Genomic DNA, 14,188 nt, shown 5'->3' with positions numbered 1-14,188 from the left:
AGCCTGTCCCCAGTATCTCTTCCAGGGATCTCCAGAGCACTCTTCCCTGCAGGGCACCCTCCCATCCCAGACTCCAGGCACCTGGCATGGGTGGACATCTTTACTTTCTGGGCCAGCTTCAGCAGAGCTATGTCATCACCATAGAACTCCAGGATTCCCTGGTTCTTTTTGGCAAAGACATCAAACCCTGGGGAGATCACCGCCTTCTCAATAAGGAATTCTTTGCCCCACTGGGATTTGGGGTCTCCTGGAAATGATACACTAGATTAGGCTAGACCAGGGCTCCTGCAGGGGCCAGAGGCTGGGTGAGGTGGTAGGATCTGTGGCTTCAGGATCAGGAGGCTGGTGCATCCCCTGCCTTACCCACATTGACCCTCCACAGGGAGTGGTCGTTGCCATCGCGGAAGCAATGAGCTGCTGTCAGGACCCATTGGTCGGAGATGAGGGCCCCCCGGCAGGTCTCTTGGCTCTTGGGCTGCAGGGGAACAGGTGATTTTCAGAGATTGCAGTATGTCTGGCCCATGGCCGCTTTTACCTCTGGAATCCAAGCCCTGCCCCTCCTTCCTGGTACCTTAATAGTGACATGCCAGGGTGTCCTCTCCTGGTCAGAGGCGTTTGCTGACATGTTCCCCACCCCGCAGATGGTGTCTGTGAGCTTGGAGACATCTGTGGGTGTGAGGATCAGATGGGGAAGGAGGCAAGTGAGGGGCACTGTGTCCAGGTTCCCAACACGGGCCTCTGGCGGGCTCCTCACCATCCTCCCCACACCAAGGAGGGCAAAGCTCACTCACCCAGCATATGTTCAAAGACCTGGTGCAGAGCCTTTGTGTCCTGCAGAATGAAGGCATGCCTCTCACCATCCTTCTTGGACCCTAGCTCATTCAGTTCTCTCCAGTCCACATCCAGCTTGCCCACCCCGATGGCATAGATGTCTGGTGGGGAAGAGGGAAATCACCAGACTCCTGTGGCTTTGGGGCTACCCCATGAGACAGGAGGCTGTCATCTGAAACTCACTGTGTCCAATCAAGACCTACATGAGCTGGACCCCTGCGTCCTCCCCACTGCTACCTGTCTGCCTTCATTTCCTGCCACTCCCTGCCCTTCACTCTCCTGCAGCACACAGCCTCTTTGAAGTTCCTCAAATCCATAGGCATGGTCACACCTCAGGCCCTTTGCCCAGCTGTGCCTCTGCCTAGTTCACTCCTCCCCCCCAGACTTCCACATGGCTCACTTTCGTACCTTTTTAAGTCTTGGCTCAAATGTCACCTTCTCAGTGAGGCCTTCCCTGGTCTTCCTGTCTAAAACTGCAATGCCCCAGACAAACTTTCATCCCCACTTTGGGAGGCAAGGTGGGAGGATCCCTTGAAGCCAGAAGTTTGAGACCAGCCTGGGCAACATGGCAACACCCCTTAGCTTGTGTCACCTACCACCTGCTGGGTTCTATGGTTTTCTTATCCTGTTTATTCCCTGTAATGGTGGAATTGTGTCCCCCAGAAAGATGTGTTCGAGTCCTAATCCCCAGTATCTGTGACTTTATTTGGAAAAAGGGTCTTTGCAGATGTAATCAAGTTAAGATTAAGTCATACTAGATTAGGGTGAGCTCTAATCCAATGACTGAGGTCCTTATAAGAAGAGGTAAGCCAGAGCCAGGCGTGGTGGCTCACACCTGTAATCACCAGGAGGCGGTGGTTGTGGTGAGCCAAGATCGCGCCATTGCACTCCAGCCTGGGCAACAAGAGCAAAACCCCGTCTCAAAAAAAAAAAAAGAAGAGGTGAGCCGGGCACGGTGGCTCACACCTGTAATCCCAGCACTCTGGGAGGCTGAGGCGGGCAGATCACGAGGTCAGGAATTCAAGACCAGCCTGACCAACATGGTGAAACCCTGTCTCTACTAAAAATACAAAAATTAGCCAGACATGCTGGCACACACCTGTAATCCCAGCTACTCAGGAGGCTGAGGCAGGAGAATCGCTTGAACCGGGAGGCGGATGTTGCAGTGAGCCGAGATTGCACCACTGCACTCCAGCCTGGGCAACAGAGCAAGACTCCATCTCAAAAAAAAAAAAAAAAAAAAAAGTGAACTGGCTGGGCATGGTGGTGACTCATGCCTGTAATCCCGGCAGTTTTTTTGAGGCGAAGGCAGGCAGATCGCCTTGAGGCCAGGAGTTTAAGACCAGCCTAGCCAACATGGCGAGACCATGTCTCTACTAAAAATACAAAAATTTGCCGGGCATGGTGGCACATGCCTGTAATCCCAGCTTCTTGGGAGACTGAGGCACGAGAATCACCTGAACCCAGGAGGCAGAGGTTACAGTGAGCCGGGATCCCGCCACTGCACTGCAGCCTGGGCTTCTGGGTGACAGAGCGAGACTCTGTCTCAAACAAATGAACAGAAAAAGAAGAAAGGAATTTGGACACAAAGACACAGGTAGTGGGTCTCCTATCTATATAAGAGAACAGCATGTAATGACACAGAGGCACACACAGAAAAGAAGGCGAGTTGAAGACAGAGGCAGAGAATGGGTTTATGCTGCCGCAAGCCAAGGTTGGAGCTGCCGGCAGCCGGAAAAGGCAGGAAAGAATTCTTCCCAAGAGCCTTCTGAGGAAGCACGGCCCTGCCAACACCTTGATTTCAGACTTCTAACCTCCAGAACTGTAAGAAAAAGAAATTCTGTGTTCTAAGCCACCCAGGTTTGTGGTAGTTTGGTAAGTACTTTTAAATGACTGAATGAATAGAAAGAACTCAGAACACAACATGGAAACTAAACCTCAGATCTGGTCTTCCTCTGTAAAAGGTAGCATCTGGGAGAAGGGCCTAAAGCCACGTTTTCCCACTGGAGGCCCTGGACCCACACAACAGGCCGCGCCTGTCCTCCGACTGTGGTGCCAGTCAGAACTGCCCTCAGACAGACCACAGAGTCTACTCCTCTCCCAGCCTTTGCACCCCTTGTGGCCCATTTTTGTTCTCAGAGAGCCCCGCGTTGTGTGTAAAAAGCAAGGTGCTTAGGTGGACCAAGAGATCTTCAGCCAGGAGGCAATCTGGCAATGGCCCAGATAGAAACAGTTACAGTTGGAGCTAGACAACGATCGTGCCTTGTGCGTTTTCTTTGACTATTTTCGTTTGGTTTCCTGCTTATTTTCAATAAAATGTTTTTGTAGCATTTGACCTTGGTCCAGTGATGCTAAGGAGGAAGGGAGTGGGCTTTAAATTTTGTCTTCCTTGGGCCAGAGTTTTAAAGAGGAATCAGCTTACCCCCGAGGGCCAGGTGATGGGGGAGGGGGCAGTGTGAATGGAAAGGAGAGGAGCTAAGGGGAAGATGAAAGGTTGGGGCTCAAAACCAGCTGCCCTCCCTGTCTGAGCATCTCTCTCTCTGAAATTACTTTCTGATCAAAGGTCAGTGCAATTTGTGTTTAGTCTGAACCTGAGGAATTTTTCCTTTAGAGGCTGCAACTGCCAAAGCCTTAGTTAGCCAGCTGTGCTGCTGAAAGAGCAACCACCAGGGACATTCCCCAGAGGGAATCGAGGTCCCTTCTTCCTGGAAAGTTTCCTGAAACATGAGATGCTATGATGATGATGATGATGATAACGACGACGGTCGTGGTCATGGCTAACATATGCTGGGCATTTTTCTATGCCAGGCAGGCAGTGTTTGTCTGAGCATCTTCCCCTGTCAGCTTGTGAGCTGGGTCCTAGTACTACTCCCCTTTTGCAGATGAAGAAACTGCCCATGGCCACAGCCCACTGAAGATGAAACCAAGGTTCTCTGTCTAAAGCTGTTGATTAAAAATAATAATTAAAAAATTAAAAATTGGCCAGGCACAGTGGCTCACGCCTATCTGTAATCCCAGCACCTTGGGAGACCAAGGCAGGCGGATCACTTGAGGCCAGGGGTTTGACACCAGACTGCCAACATGGTGAAACTCTGTCTCTATTAAAAATGCAAAAATGAGCCGGGCATGGTGGCACACACCTGTAATCCCAGCTACTCTGGAGGCTGAGGCAGGAGAATCATTTGAAGCCAGGACGTGGAGGTTGCAGTGAGTTGAGATCGAGTCACTGCACTCCAGCCTGGGCAACACGGCAAGATTCTGTCTCAAAAAAAATTTAAAAATTAATTTTAAAAAATTTGTGAAGACGGGCTGAGCATAGTGGCTCATACCTGTAATCCTACCACTTTGGGAAGCTGAGTTGAGGGGATCACTTGAAACCAGGAATTTGAGGCTGCAGTAAGCTATGATTGCACCACTGCACTTCATGGTGGCATGGTGGACATCGTTACTTTCTGGACCAGCTTCTGGGCCGGCATGGGTGGACATCTTTCCAGGAATATACTCTGAGTGTCAGTGAGACACTGTCTTAAAAAAAAAAAAAAAAAAAAAGAAGGTAAGGTTGAGACCATGGGCAGTAGTTTGACCCCAGGCTCTTCAACATGAGTTGCCTTTGTACAGAACAACGCAGAAATAAAACCATGTGGCTCTGGACCATAGCTAAGATGCTGGGATCCCTGGCTGAAGATCTCATGACCTCTGCAGGAGCAGAACAAATGTGGTGGCAGTGGCAGGGGCTCACCCAGATAGTCATTCCTCTTCTGGTTGATGTTCAGGATCTCTCTGATATGGTCAACAGCTGTCTTGGGAGAGCCACCCATATTGGACTTTCCTAGAACAAAGAGAATAAAGAATTCTTCTAGGTAATATCAGGATTTCCCCAGGCCCTGGAAGAGTAGGAAAGCATTTAGCCTGGGAACCTCAACATTTACATTGCCTGTGAGAGCTTCAAAATATACTTTTAGGCTGGGCATGGTGGCTCACACCTGTAATCCTAGCACTTTGGGAGACCGAAGAAGGCGGATTGCCTGAGCTCAGGAGTTCCAGACCAGCCTGGGCAACATGGTGAAACCCTGTCTCTACTAAAACCACAAAAAATTAGCCAGGTGTGGCCGGGCATGGTGGCTCATGCCTGTAATCCCAGCACTTTGGGAGGCCAAGGCAGGTGGATCACCTGAGGTTGGGAGTTTGAGACCAGCTTGACCAACATGGAGAAACCGCACCTCTACTAAATATACAAAATTAGCCGGGTGTGGTGGCACATGCCTGTAATCCCAGCTACTCAGGAGGCAGGAGAATCGCTTGAACCTGGGAGGCGGAGGTTGCGGTGAGCCGAAATCGCGCCATTGCACTCCAGCCTGGGCAACAAGAGTGAAACTCCATCTCAAAAAATAAAAATAAAAATTAGCCAGGCATGGTGACACATGCCTGTAGTCCCAGCTACTCTGGAGGCTGAGGCACGAGAATTGCTTCAGCCTGGGAGGCAGAGGTTGCAGTGAGCCGAGATCGCACCACTGTAGTCCAGCCTGGGCAATAGAGTGAGACCCTGTCTCAAAAAAATAAATATATATATATATATATGTATGTATACATATATATATATATACATACATATATATATATACACACTTTTACTGAAATGTTCTACATTCCAGGCACCAGGCCAGGTGCTTCCTATACTTTAACTCATTTAATTCTCATGAAACCCCAGGTAGAGTGGGTATCCTCATTTTATATACTAAGTCCTGGAGGAACTGTGTAATTTGGACAATAGCAAGAGGCAAATGACAAGGCCAGATCCACTACAGACTGTTCCTTGCATCCGTGCCCTTCGACATTCCTGCTCAAGAGCCACGTTTCCTCATCTATCTCCAAGTTACCTCCCAGATGGTAACAAGAGCTAACACAGAGCACTTTCACACAGGCAACTTAAATAGCTTTCCATAAAAATTGTGTAAGGAAAGGAGGACAGCCATCATGATCATCATTGCTGTCATTGTGGTTACGGTCATCATCATCAACACTAATTCTATTTATTTATTTATTTTATTTTGAGACAAGGTAGGATCTTGGTCTGTCACCCAGGCTGGAGTGCAGTGGCATGATCTTGGCTCACTGCAACCTCTGCCTCCCAGGTTCAAGCAATTCTCCTGCCTCAGCCTCCCAAGTAGCTGGGATTACAGGCGCCTGCCACCACACCCAGCTAATGGTTTTGTATTTTTAGTAGAGACGGGGTTTCACCATGTTAGCCAGTCTGATCTCAAACTCCTAACCTCAAGTGATCCACCCGCTTTGGCCTCCCAAAGTGCTGGGACTACAGGCATAAGCCACCACACTGGCCCTATTTTATAAATAAGAAACTGGGCCAGGTGTGGTGGCTCATGCCTGTAATCCCAGCACTTTGGGAGGCTGAGGCAGGAGGATTGCTTGAAGCCAGGAGTTTGAGATCAGCTGGGCAACATAGCAAGGCCCCATCTCTAAAAACAAAAACAAAACTGGGGCCCAAAGTGGCAGGCAGAGGGAGAATCAGAATTCAGGGCTTCTGACCCCATATTGGTGCCCCTTCCACTATTCCAGACACACTCAGAGACCATGATACCCACCATCTGTCAGAAGGATGATGGCATGTCGGATTTCCTGCCAGGCCATCGTTTCCATGCCGAGGAGTCGCATTTGGTTGTTCATCATGAGATAGACACTGTTTAAGGCCGCATAGGTGTTAGTCCCAGTTCCATTTTCATGATCTGGAATATGCCAAAAGGAAGGACTCTCTTAGAAACTTCCCACCTACCACCTAGGGGTAGGGAATCACTCTATTCCCCCAATTATTGGAAATGCAATTTTTTTTTTTTTTTTGAGAGAGTCTCGCTCTGCCACCCAGGCTAGAGTATAGTGGCGTGATCTTGGCTGACTGCAACCTCCACCTCCCCAGTTCAAGTGATTCTCATGCCTCAGTCTCCCAAGTAGCTGGGATTACAGGTGCCAGCCACCATGCCCAGCTAATTTTTTGTATTTTTAGTAGAGATGGGGTTTCACCATGTTGGCCAAGCTGGTTTCCTGACCTCAAGTGATCCGCCCATCTCAGCCTCCCAAAGTGCTGGGATTACTACAGGCATGAGCCACTGCACCCGGCCTGGAAATGCAATTTATCGATTGTTTTGATAAACTCAGACATTTGCCATTCAGATAGAGATGTGGCATCATTGCTTGTTCAAACTTTAAAAGCCTTTCCACCTTAGAAATGTTCATTGCATAGGGCCGGGCAAGGTGGTTCACGCCTGTAATCCCAGCACTTTGGGAGGCTGAGGTGGGCGGATCACAAAGTCAGGATCACGAGACCAGCCTGACCAACATAGTGAAACCCCATCTCAACTAAAAATATAAAAAATTAGCCAGGCATGGTGGCAGGTGCCCGAAATCTCAGCTACTCGGGAAGCTGAGGCAGGAGAATTGCCTGAACCCTGGAGGCAGAGGTTGCAGTGAGCCAAGATCGTGCCACTGCACTCAAGCCTGGGTGACAGTGCGAGACTCCACCTCAAAAAAAAAAAAAAGAAGAAGAAAAAAGAAATGTTCATTGCATAACCCCAATCCAAGACCACACTAAAGTCCCAAGATTCAAAGATGAGGTTTCCAAAACCTTGAGTGGCTTCAGCCATTTGCTAAGTGCCAACCAGGCACTTTACATGGTGTATGGGTGGCTAATGACATGGGGAGATGGCAGTGTGCAGCCATGCAAACCAGACAGTGTGGTTTTGGCAACTGGAAGGAATTGAAGACCTGCACAGTGTCTTTGGACCTGCAGCATCTCAGAATGAGCTATGAGCTGGGGGCAGCTGGACTCCCCCACCATAACCCTGGACGTTGAAACTACCCCAGACTCGTGGGACTCAGGTGCCACCAAGAGGCCTCACTCTCTTTTTAACTCATCCAGAATTTGTTTGCAGGCCCTGAGAGGGTCCATCTTCTCCTCTCTCATCACCATCACGTGATGACACCCGTACCTTTATAGTTGGCATTTTCCAGGCTGCTGATCACCTCAGTCATATCCCGGGAGTTGTCGTTCAGGACAGACATGAGGACTTTGGGCTCTGAGGCAAAGGTGATAATGGCAACGCTCACATTGATCTCAAAGCTGAAGATCTGTGCGGGGCAAGTGAGAGGCAGCGTAAAGGGCCCTGAAGCCAAAGGGGAGATGGTAAGAGAGCAAACAAAGGGCCCTGGAGGAGGCAGAGAAACTGGAGTGAGACCGACAGAGGCAAGGACCAGGGGAGACACTAGGAAATGGCTGTTAGGAAGAAGCTAGGGGCTGGGCGCGGTGGCTCATGCCTGAATCCCAACACTTTAGGCAGGTGGATCACCTGAGGTCAGGAGTTCGAGACCAGCCTGACCAACATGGCAAAACCCATCTCTACTAAAAATACAAAAATTAGCCTGGTATGGTGGCAAGCACCTATAATCCCAGCTACTCAGGAGGCTGAGGCAGAAGAATCACTTGAACCCAGGAGGCAAAGTTTGCAGTGAGCTGAGATCGCACCACTGTACTCCAGCCTGGGTGACAGAGACTCTATCTCAAAAATAATAATAATAATAATAATAATAAAAATAAGGAACAGCAGCAGCTAAGGAAGAAACCTTTGTTGAACATCTTTCTCTTTGACAGACTCTCTTCACTCCACCCTGTGAGGGGCATGATGACCCCTATTTTATGGATAAGGAAACTGAGGTATGTTGCCTTGTCCCCCTTCCCCCATCACACCATGAGGAGGAGGTGGAAGTGGGATCTGAATGTGTCACATGATTCTCAATCACTGCTCCAACTGGTGTGTGTTGCCGCCTCGCAGTGCAATGAGTTACTTAATTTTGAGTCCCAAGAGAGCACAGAAACTGCCCTCTTTAAAATGTAGCTGGGAGGGAAAACCATCTATAATGTTACATGAAGTATTGTGAAAAGCACAATTACAAAACAAAGTTCTGGCGAGGAACTTAAACCAGTGGCTTCCAAACTTCTATCACACATATTTTATTTTATTTTATTTTATTTTATTTATTTTTTTGAGACAGAGTTTTGCTCTAGTTGCCCAGGCTGGAGTGCAATGGCGTGATCTCAGCCCACTGCAACCTCCACCTCCCGGATCCAAGCGATTCTCCTGCCTCATCCTCCCAAGTAGCTGGGTTACAGGCGTGCGCCATCACATGTGGCTAATTTTGTATTTTTAGTATAGACAGGGTTTCATCATGTTGGTCAGGCTGGTCTCAAACTCCTGACCTCAAGTGATCCACCTGCCTCGGCCTCCCAAAGTGTTGGGATTACAGGCACTAGCCACCATGCCCAGTCTATCACACACATTTTAAAGCCTGCACAAAATGTTGAAGTTTTAAAAGGAAATTATTAAATATTAAATTATTAATCTGATTTAAATTATTCCACAGGGGCACCAGTATTTTTCTGCTTCACTCCTGTGGGTTATCTCACTACCTTTCTGTGGAGACCACTGTTCTAGATGATGAATTCCTGGAAAGTAAGACCTCAGCCTTTCCATCTTTGCTGTCGCCCAGCCCCAGCACAGTGTCCCAACAGTGCTTGTGGAATAAAAATTATGATTGTATAAATTGAATTCATGATTCCTACATGGCATGAGTATAATCTGAGAAGACTTCTTGGAGGAGGTGGGCTGTGAGTGGGGTTCTGAGGAGGGGAAGGAGACAGAGAGAGATAGTGAGCACAGGAAGGCCTCTGCTGCAGGCAGACTCCTGATTCCTGACCCTGTCCACCATGAGGGAGGCGCTCTCCTTGAAGATGAGAAAGTCATTTTCCGACACACTCTGCGAACAGTCCAGGAGCAGGTAGAGGTTCAGATGACCAGAGCGCTGGATTTGGATTTTACGGCCCAGGCTTTCTGGAGAAATGTGGAAGGGGAGGATTCAGATCCCCACCTCCTTCCTGCGCTCTCGCCAAGCAGGTCCAGCTTCTCTGCCTCCCTCCCTTTCAGTGGCTGAGCCCACCAAGGCTCCTGGCCTCCAGGAAGGTTGCATCCTCCCTTGCTCCGGCCCAGATCCAGCACCCTGCTCAACCAGAAACCCCACCTCAAACACTCACCCTTTGTCTTCTGGGTGGGATTGGTGGCCCCAAGCATGTGGGAGAAGGAAGTGCCCAGGGCAGGGGCCACGTCCTCAGGGAAGTCATAAGAGTAGGGTTCTGTGGGGAGAGCCACACAGGAGTCAGCCGGGGCAGTGGCCGGGTGTGCCGAGGAATCTCAGGAGGGCAGGGCAGCTACTCACGGCGGCAGATGGGCTCCGTTCCACTCCAGACCCCGTTGCCCTGGCACTCCCGCTCCGAAGACCCCGTGAGCACAAGATTCGAGGAGCAGCGATAGCGGACCTTGTCCCCATGACCAAAGCGGAAGCCTGTCCGCACTGCGCCCAGTGAAATGCCTGGGTTGGGGCAGTGGCCAGCTGCGAGTGAACAAAGGAAGGCAGAGGTGAGTAGCCCCCTCCCATCAGGCTCTGCCTCCTCAGCGGCCTCAGTTGCCAGCAGAAGCTTCCCAGTTCCAACCCAGGGATGCACCCATGTCTGTCCCAGAGCCCCCAGAGACCCAGGGAAGAAGTCAGCTGATGGTCCCTCCACTCCTTCAGAGAACATTTATATTTCATAAACCACAGTGAGGCATCCCTACACACCCATCAAAACGGCTAACACTGAAACAACAGGTAATTCCAAGTGTTGGAGAGGATGCAGAGCGACTGGCACTCTGTTACCTTGCTGGCATGTACGTGGGTGAAACTTTCTCAGCCTCTACTACAACTAAACATATGCCAGCCTGTGATGTGACAATTCCACATTTAGATCATTTACTCAAGAGAAGCAAGTGCATACATGTACCAAAATCACATGCAAGAATGTTCCTAGAGCTCCCTCTCCCTCACCCTCTCCCCATGGTCTCCCTCTCCCTCTCTTTCCACGGTCTCCCTCTGATGCCGAGCCGAAGCTGGACGGTACTGCTGCCATCTCGGCTCACTGCAACCTCCCTGCCTGATTCTCCTGCCTCAGCTTGCCGAGTGCCTGCGATTGCAGGCGCGCGCCGCCACGCCTGACTGGTTTTCGTATTTTGTTAGTGGAGACGGGGTTTCGCTGTGTTGGCCGGGCTGGTCTCCAGCTCCTAACCGCGAGTGATCCACCAGCCTCGGCCTCCCGAGGTGCTGGGATTGCAGACGGAGTCTCGTTCACTCAGTGCTCAATGATGCCCAGGCTGGAGTGCAGTGGCGTGATCTTGGCTCGCTACAACCTCCACCTCCCAGCAGCCTGCCTTGGCCTCCCAAAGTGCCGAGATTGCAGCCTCTGCCCGGCCGCCACCCCGTCTGGGAAGTGAGGAGCGTCTCCGCCTGGCCACCCATCGTCTGGGATGTGAGGAGCCCCTCTGCCTGGCTGCCCAGTCTGGAAAGTGAGGAGCGTCTCTGCCCGGCCGCCATCCCATCTAGGAAGTGAGGAGCGCCTCTTCCCGGCCGCCATCACATCTGGGAAGTGAGGAGCGTCTCTGCCCTGCCGCCCATCGTCTGAGATGTGGGGAGCACCTCTGCCCGGCCGCCCCATCCGGGATGTGAGGAGCGTCTCTGCCCGGCCGCCCCGTCTGAGAAGTGAGGAGACCCTCTGCCTGGCAACCGCTCCATCTGAGAAGTGAGGAGCCCCTCCGCCCGGCAGCCGCCCTGTCTGAGAAGTGAGGAGCCCCTCCGCCCAGCAGCCACCTGGTCCGGGAGGGAGGTGGGGGGGTCAGCCCCCCGCCCGGCCAGCCGCCCCGTCCGGGAGGGAGGTGGGGGGGTCAGCCCCCAGCCCGGCCAGCCGCCCCGTCCGGGAAGTGAGGGGCGCCTCTGCCCGGCCGCCCCTACTGGGAAGTGAGGAGCCACTCTGCCCGGCCAGCCGCCCCGTCCGGGAGGGAGGTGGGGGGGTCAGCCCCTCGCCCGGCCAGCCGCCCCATCCGGGAAGTGAGGGGCGCCTCTGCCCGGCCGCCCCTGCTGGGAAGTGAGGAGCCCCTCTGCCCGGCCAGCCACTCTGTCCGGGAGGGAGGTGGGGGGGTCAGCCCCCCGCCCGGCCAGCCGCCCCGTCCGGGAGGGAGGTGGGGGGATCAGCCCCCCGCCCGGCCAGCCGCGCCGTCCGGGAGGGAGGTGGGGGGGTCAGCCCCCCGCCCGGCCAGCCGCCCTGTCCGGGAGGTGAGGGGCGCCTCTGCCCGGCCGCGCCTACTGGAAAGTGAGGAGCCCCTCTGCCCGGCCACCACCCCGTCTGGGAGGTGTACCCAACAGCTCATTGAGAAGGGGCCATGATGACAATGACGGTTTTGTGGAATAGAAAGGGGGGAAAGGTGGGGAAAAGATTGAGAAATCGGATGGTTGCCGTGTCTGTGTAGAAAGAGGTAGACCTGGGAGACTTTTCATTTTGTTCTGTACTAAGAAAAATTCTTCTGCCTTGGGATCCTGTTGATCGGTGACCTTACCCCCAACCCTGTGCTCTCTGAAACATGTGCTGTATCCACTCAGGGTTGAATGGATTAAGAGCGGTGCAAGATGTGCTTTGTTAAACAGATGCTTGAAGGCAGCATGCTCCTTAAGAGTCATCACCACTCCCTAATCTCAAGTACCCAGGGACACAAACACTGCGGAAGGCCGCAGGGTCCTCTGCCTAGGAAAACCAGAGACCTTTGTTCACTTGTTTATCTGCTGACCTTCCCTCCACTATTGTCCTGTGACCCTGCCAAATCCCCCTCTGTGAGAAACACCCAAGAATGATCAATTAAAAAAAAAAAAAAAAAAAGAATGTTCCTAGAGCTTTACTCCTAATGGCCCCAAACTGGAAATAATCCAAATGTCCATCAGGAGGGGAATGGATAAATTGTAATATACCCATATAATGGAATACTACACAGCAATAAAAAAGAACAAAGTACTGATACACACAACAGCATGGATAAATCTCACAGGCAGAATATAGAACAAAGGATGCCAGAAGCAACAGACCACATCCCGCATGATTCCATTTACAGGAAATGTAAGCACAAGGTACCTAGTCCATGGAGACAGAGGTCAGAAGAGCAGTTACCTTGTGGGAGGGGACAAGAGGGAACCTCATTCTGTCTTGGGTGGTGATTAGATGAGTGGATGCATTGTAACAAATCATTGAGCTGAATAGTTAAGATTTGTACATTTTACAATAGGTAAATTATGCCTCAATTTTAAAATAAGTTAGAGTCACGTCTAATAATTCAAGCATTACTTATCACAGTCTTACCAGGCATCTACTTCACCCTCCTACAGAATAAATGGCCATTTGCCAAAACCCAAGGGCATGAGTGGGGATCCATGGTCTGGGCCACTAGGTGAAGGTGGTCCTGCCATCTTGTGGACTCCGTGTCTTCTGTATGATGTGCTAAGAACCATGATCCAAGAAGCTCCCAAACCCACAGGCAAATGCAGCTCCAGGGAATCCTAGGAGCCCTACTTCTGCCAAGCAGAGCCCCTCACCATTCACAGGGGCAGCAATAACTATGACAAAAGTGCTTATGGCCAGGTGTGGTGGCACATGCCTGCATTCCCAGCTACTGAGGAGGCTGAGGTAGGAAGATCACTTGAGCTCAGGAGTTTGAAGCCAGCCTTGGCAACACAGCGAGATCCTGTCTCTTAAAGAAACAAAAACAAGGCCGGATGCCGTGGCTCACGCCTGTAATCCCAGCACTTTGGGAGGCCAAGGTGGGCAGAATCCCCTGAGGTCAGGAGTTTGAGACCAGCCTGGCCAACATGGAGAAACCCTGTCCCTACTAAGAATAGAAAATTACCGAGGCATGGTGGCGCATGCCTGTAATCCCAGCTTCTTGGGAGGCTGAGGCAGGAGAGTCACTTGAACCCGGGAGGCAGATGTTGCGGTGAGCTGAGATTGCGCCATTGCACTCCAGCCTGGGCAACAAGAGCTAGACTCCGTCTCAAAAAAAAAAAAAAGTGTACATGGCATTTATCAGATTCCAGGGGCTGTTTTTTTTGTTTTTTGTTTGTTTGTTTGTTTGTTTGTTTTGAGACAGAGTCTCACTCTGTCACCCAGGCTGGAGTGCAGTGGCACGATCTCGGCTCACTGCAACCTCTGCCTCCCAGGTTCAAGTGATTCTCCTGCCTCAGCCTCCTGAGTAGCTGGGATTAACCACGCCCAGCTAATTTTTGTATTTTTAGTATAGACGAGGTTTCACCACGTTGACCAGGCTGGTCTCAATCTCCTGACCTCAGGTGATCCACCCACCTCAGCCTCCCAAAGTGCTGGGATTACAGGCGTGAGGCACCGAGGCTGGCATTTTTTTTTTTTTTTTTTTTTTTTGAGACAGAGTCTTAC

General features: G+C 51.3%; 1 protein-coding gene and 1 long non-coding RNA gene across 7 annotated transcripts in view; one reads left to right on the top strand and one right to left on the bottom strand.

Annotated features, from left to right (window-relative positions):
• The window catches only part of C2 (complement C2), a 47,890-nt gene that overhangs the window by 1,782 nt on the left and 31,920 nt on the right, over positions 1-14,188 (bottom strand). For 3 of the 6 annotated variants that reach the window (NM_001282458.2, NM_000063.6, NM_001145903.3), the window contains 10 exons: positions 10,108-10,281; positions 9,926-10,024; positions 9,592-9,725; positions 7,830-7,968; positions 6,432-6,572; positions 4,571-4,660; positions 792-932; positions 572-666; positions 364-475; positions 82-247 (listed from right to left, as the gene is read on the bottom strand). In NM_001282458.2, coding sequence (NP_001269387.1) covers positions 82-247; positions 364-475; positions 572-666; positions 792-932; positions 4,571-4,660; positions 6,432-6,572; positions 7,830-7,968; positions 9,592-9,725; positions 9,926-10,024; positions 10,108-10,281 — 1,291 coding nt within the window. Of the gene's footprint in view, positions 1-81; positions 248-363; positions 476-571; positions 667-791; positions 933-4,570; positions 4,661-6,431; positions 6,573-7,829; positions 7,969-8,832; positions 9,726-9,925; positions 10,025-10,107; positions 10,282-14,188 lie in introns of those variants that run through there. The other 3 variants (NM_001282457.2, NM_001178063.3, NM_001282459.2) reach the window with 3 other exon arrangements.
• C2-AS1 (C2 antisense RNA 1) lies at positions 2,167-9,417 on the top strand. Its single transcript, NR_104191.1, has 3 exons — positions 2,167-2,706; positions 8,489-8,551; positions 9,259-9,417. It is a non-coding gene; the product is annotated as a C2 antisense RNA 1 (long non-coding RNA).

This window comes from Homo sapiens, chromosome 6 (genome assembly GCF_000001405.40).
Source record: "Homo sapiens chromosome 6, GRCh38.p14 Primary Assembly".
In the NCBI taxonomy this organism is placed as follows: domain Eukaryota; kingdom Metazoa; phylum Chordata; class Mammalia; order Primates; family Hominidae; genus Homo; species Homo sapiens.
This window is presented reverse-complemented; position numbering and strand designations above follow the sequence as displayed.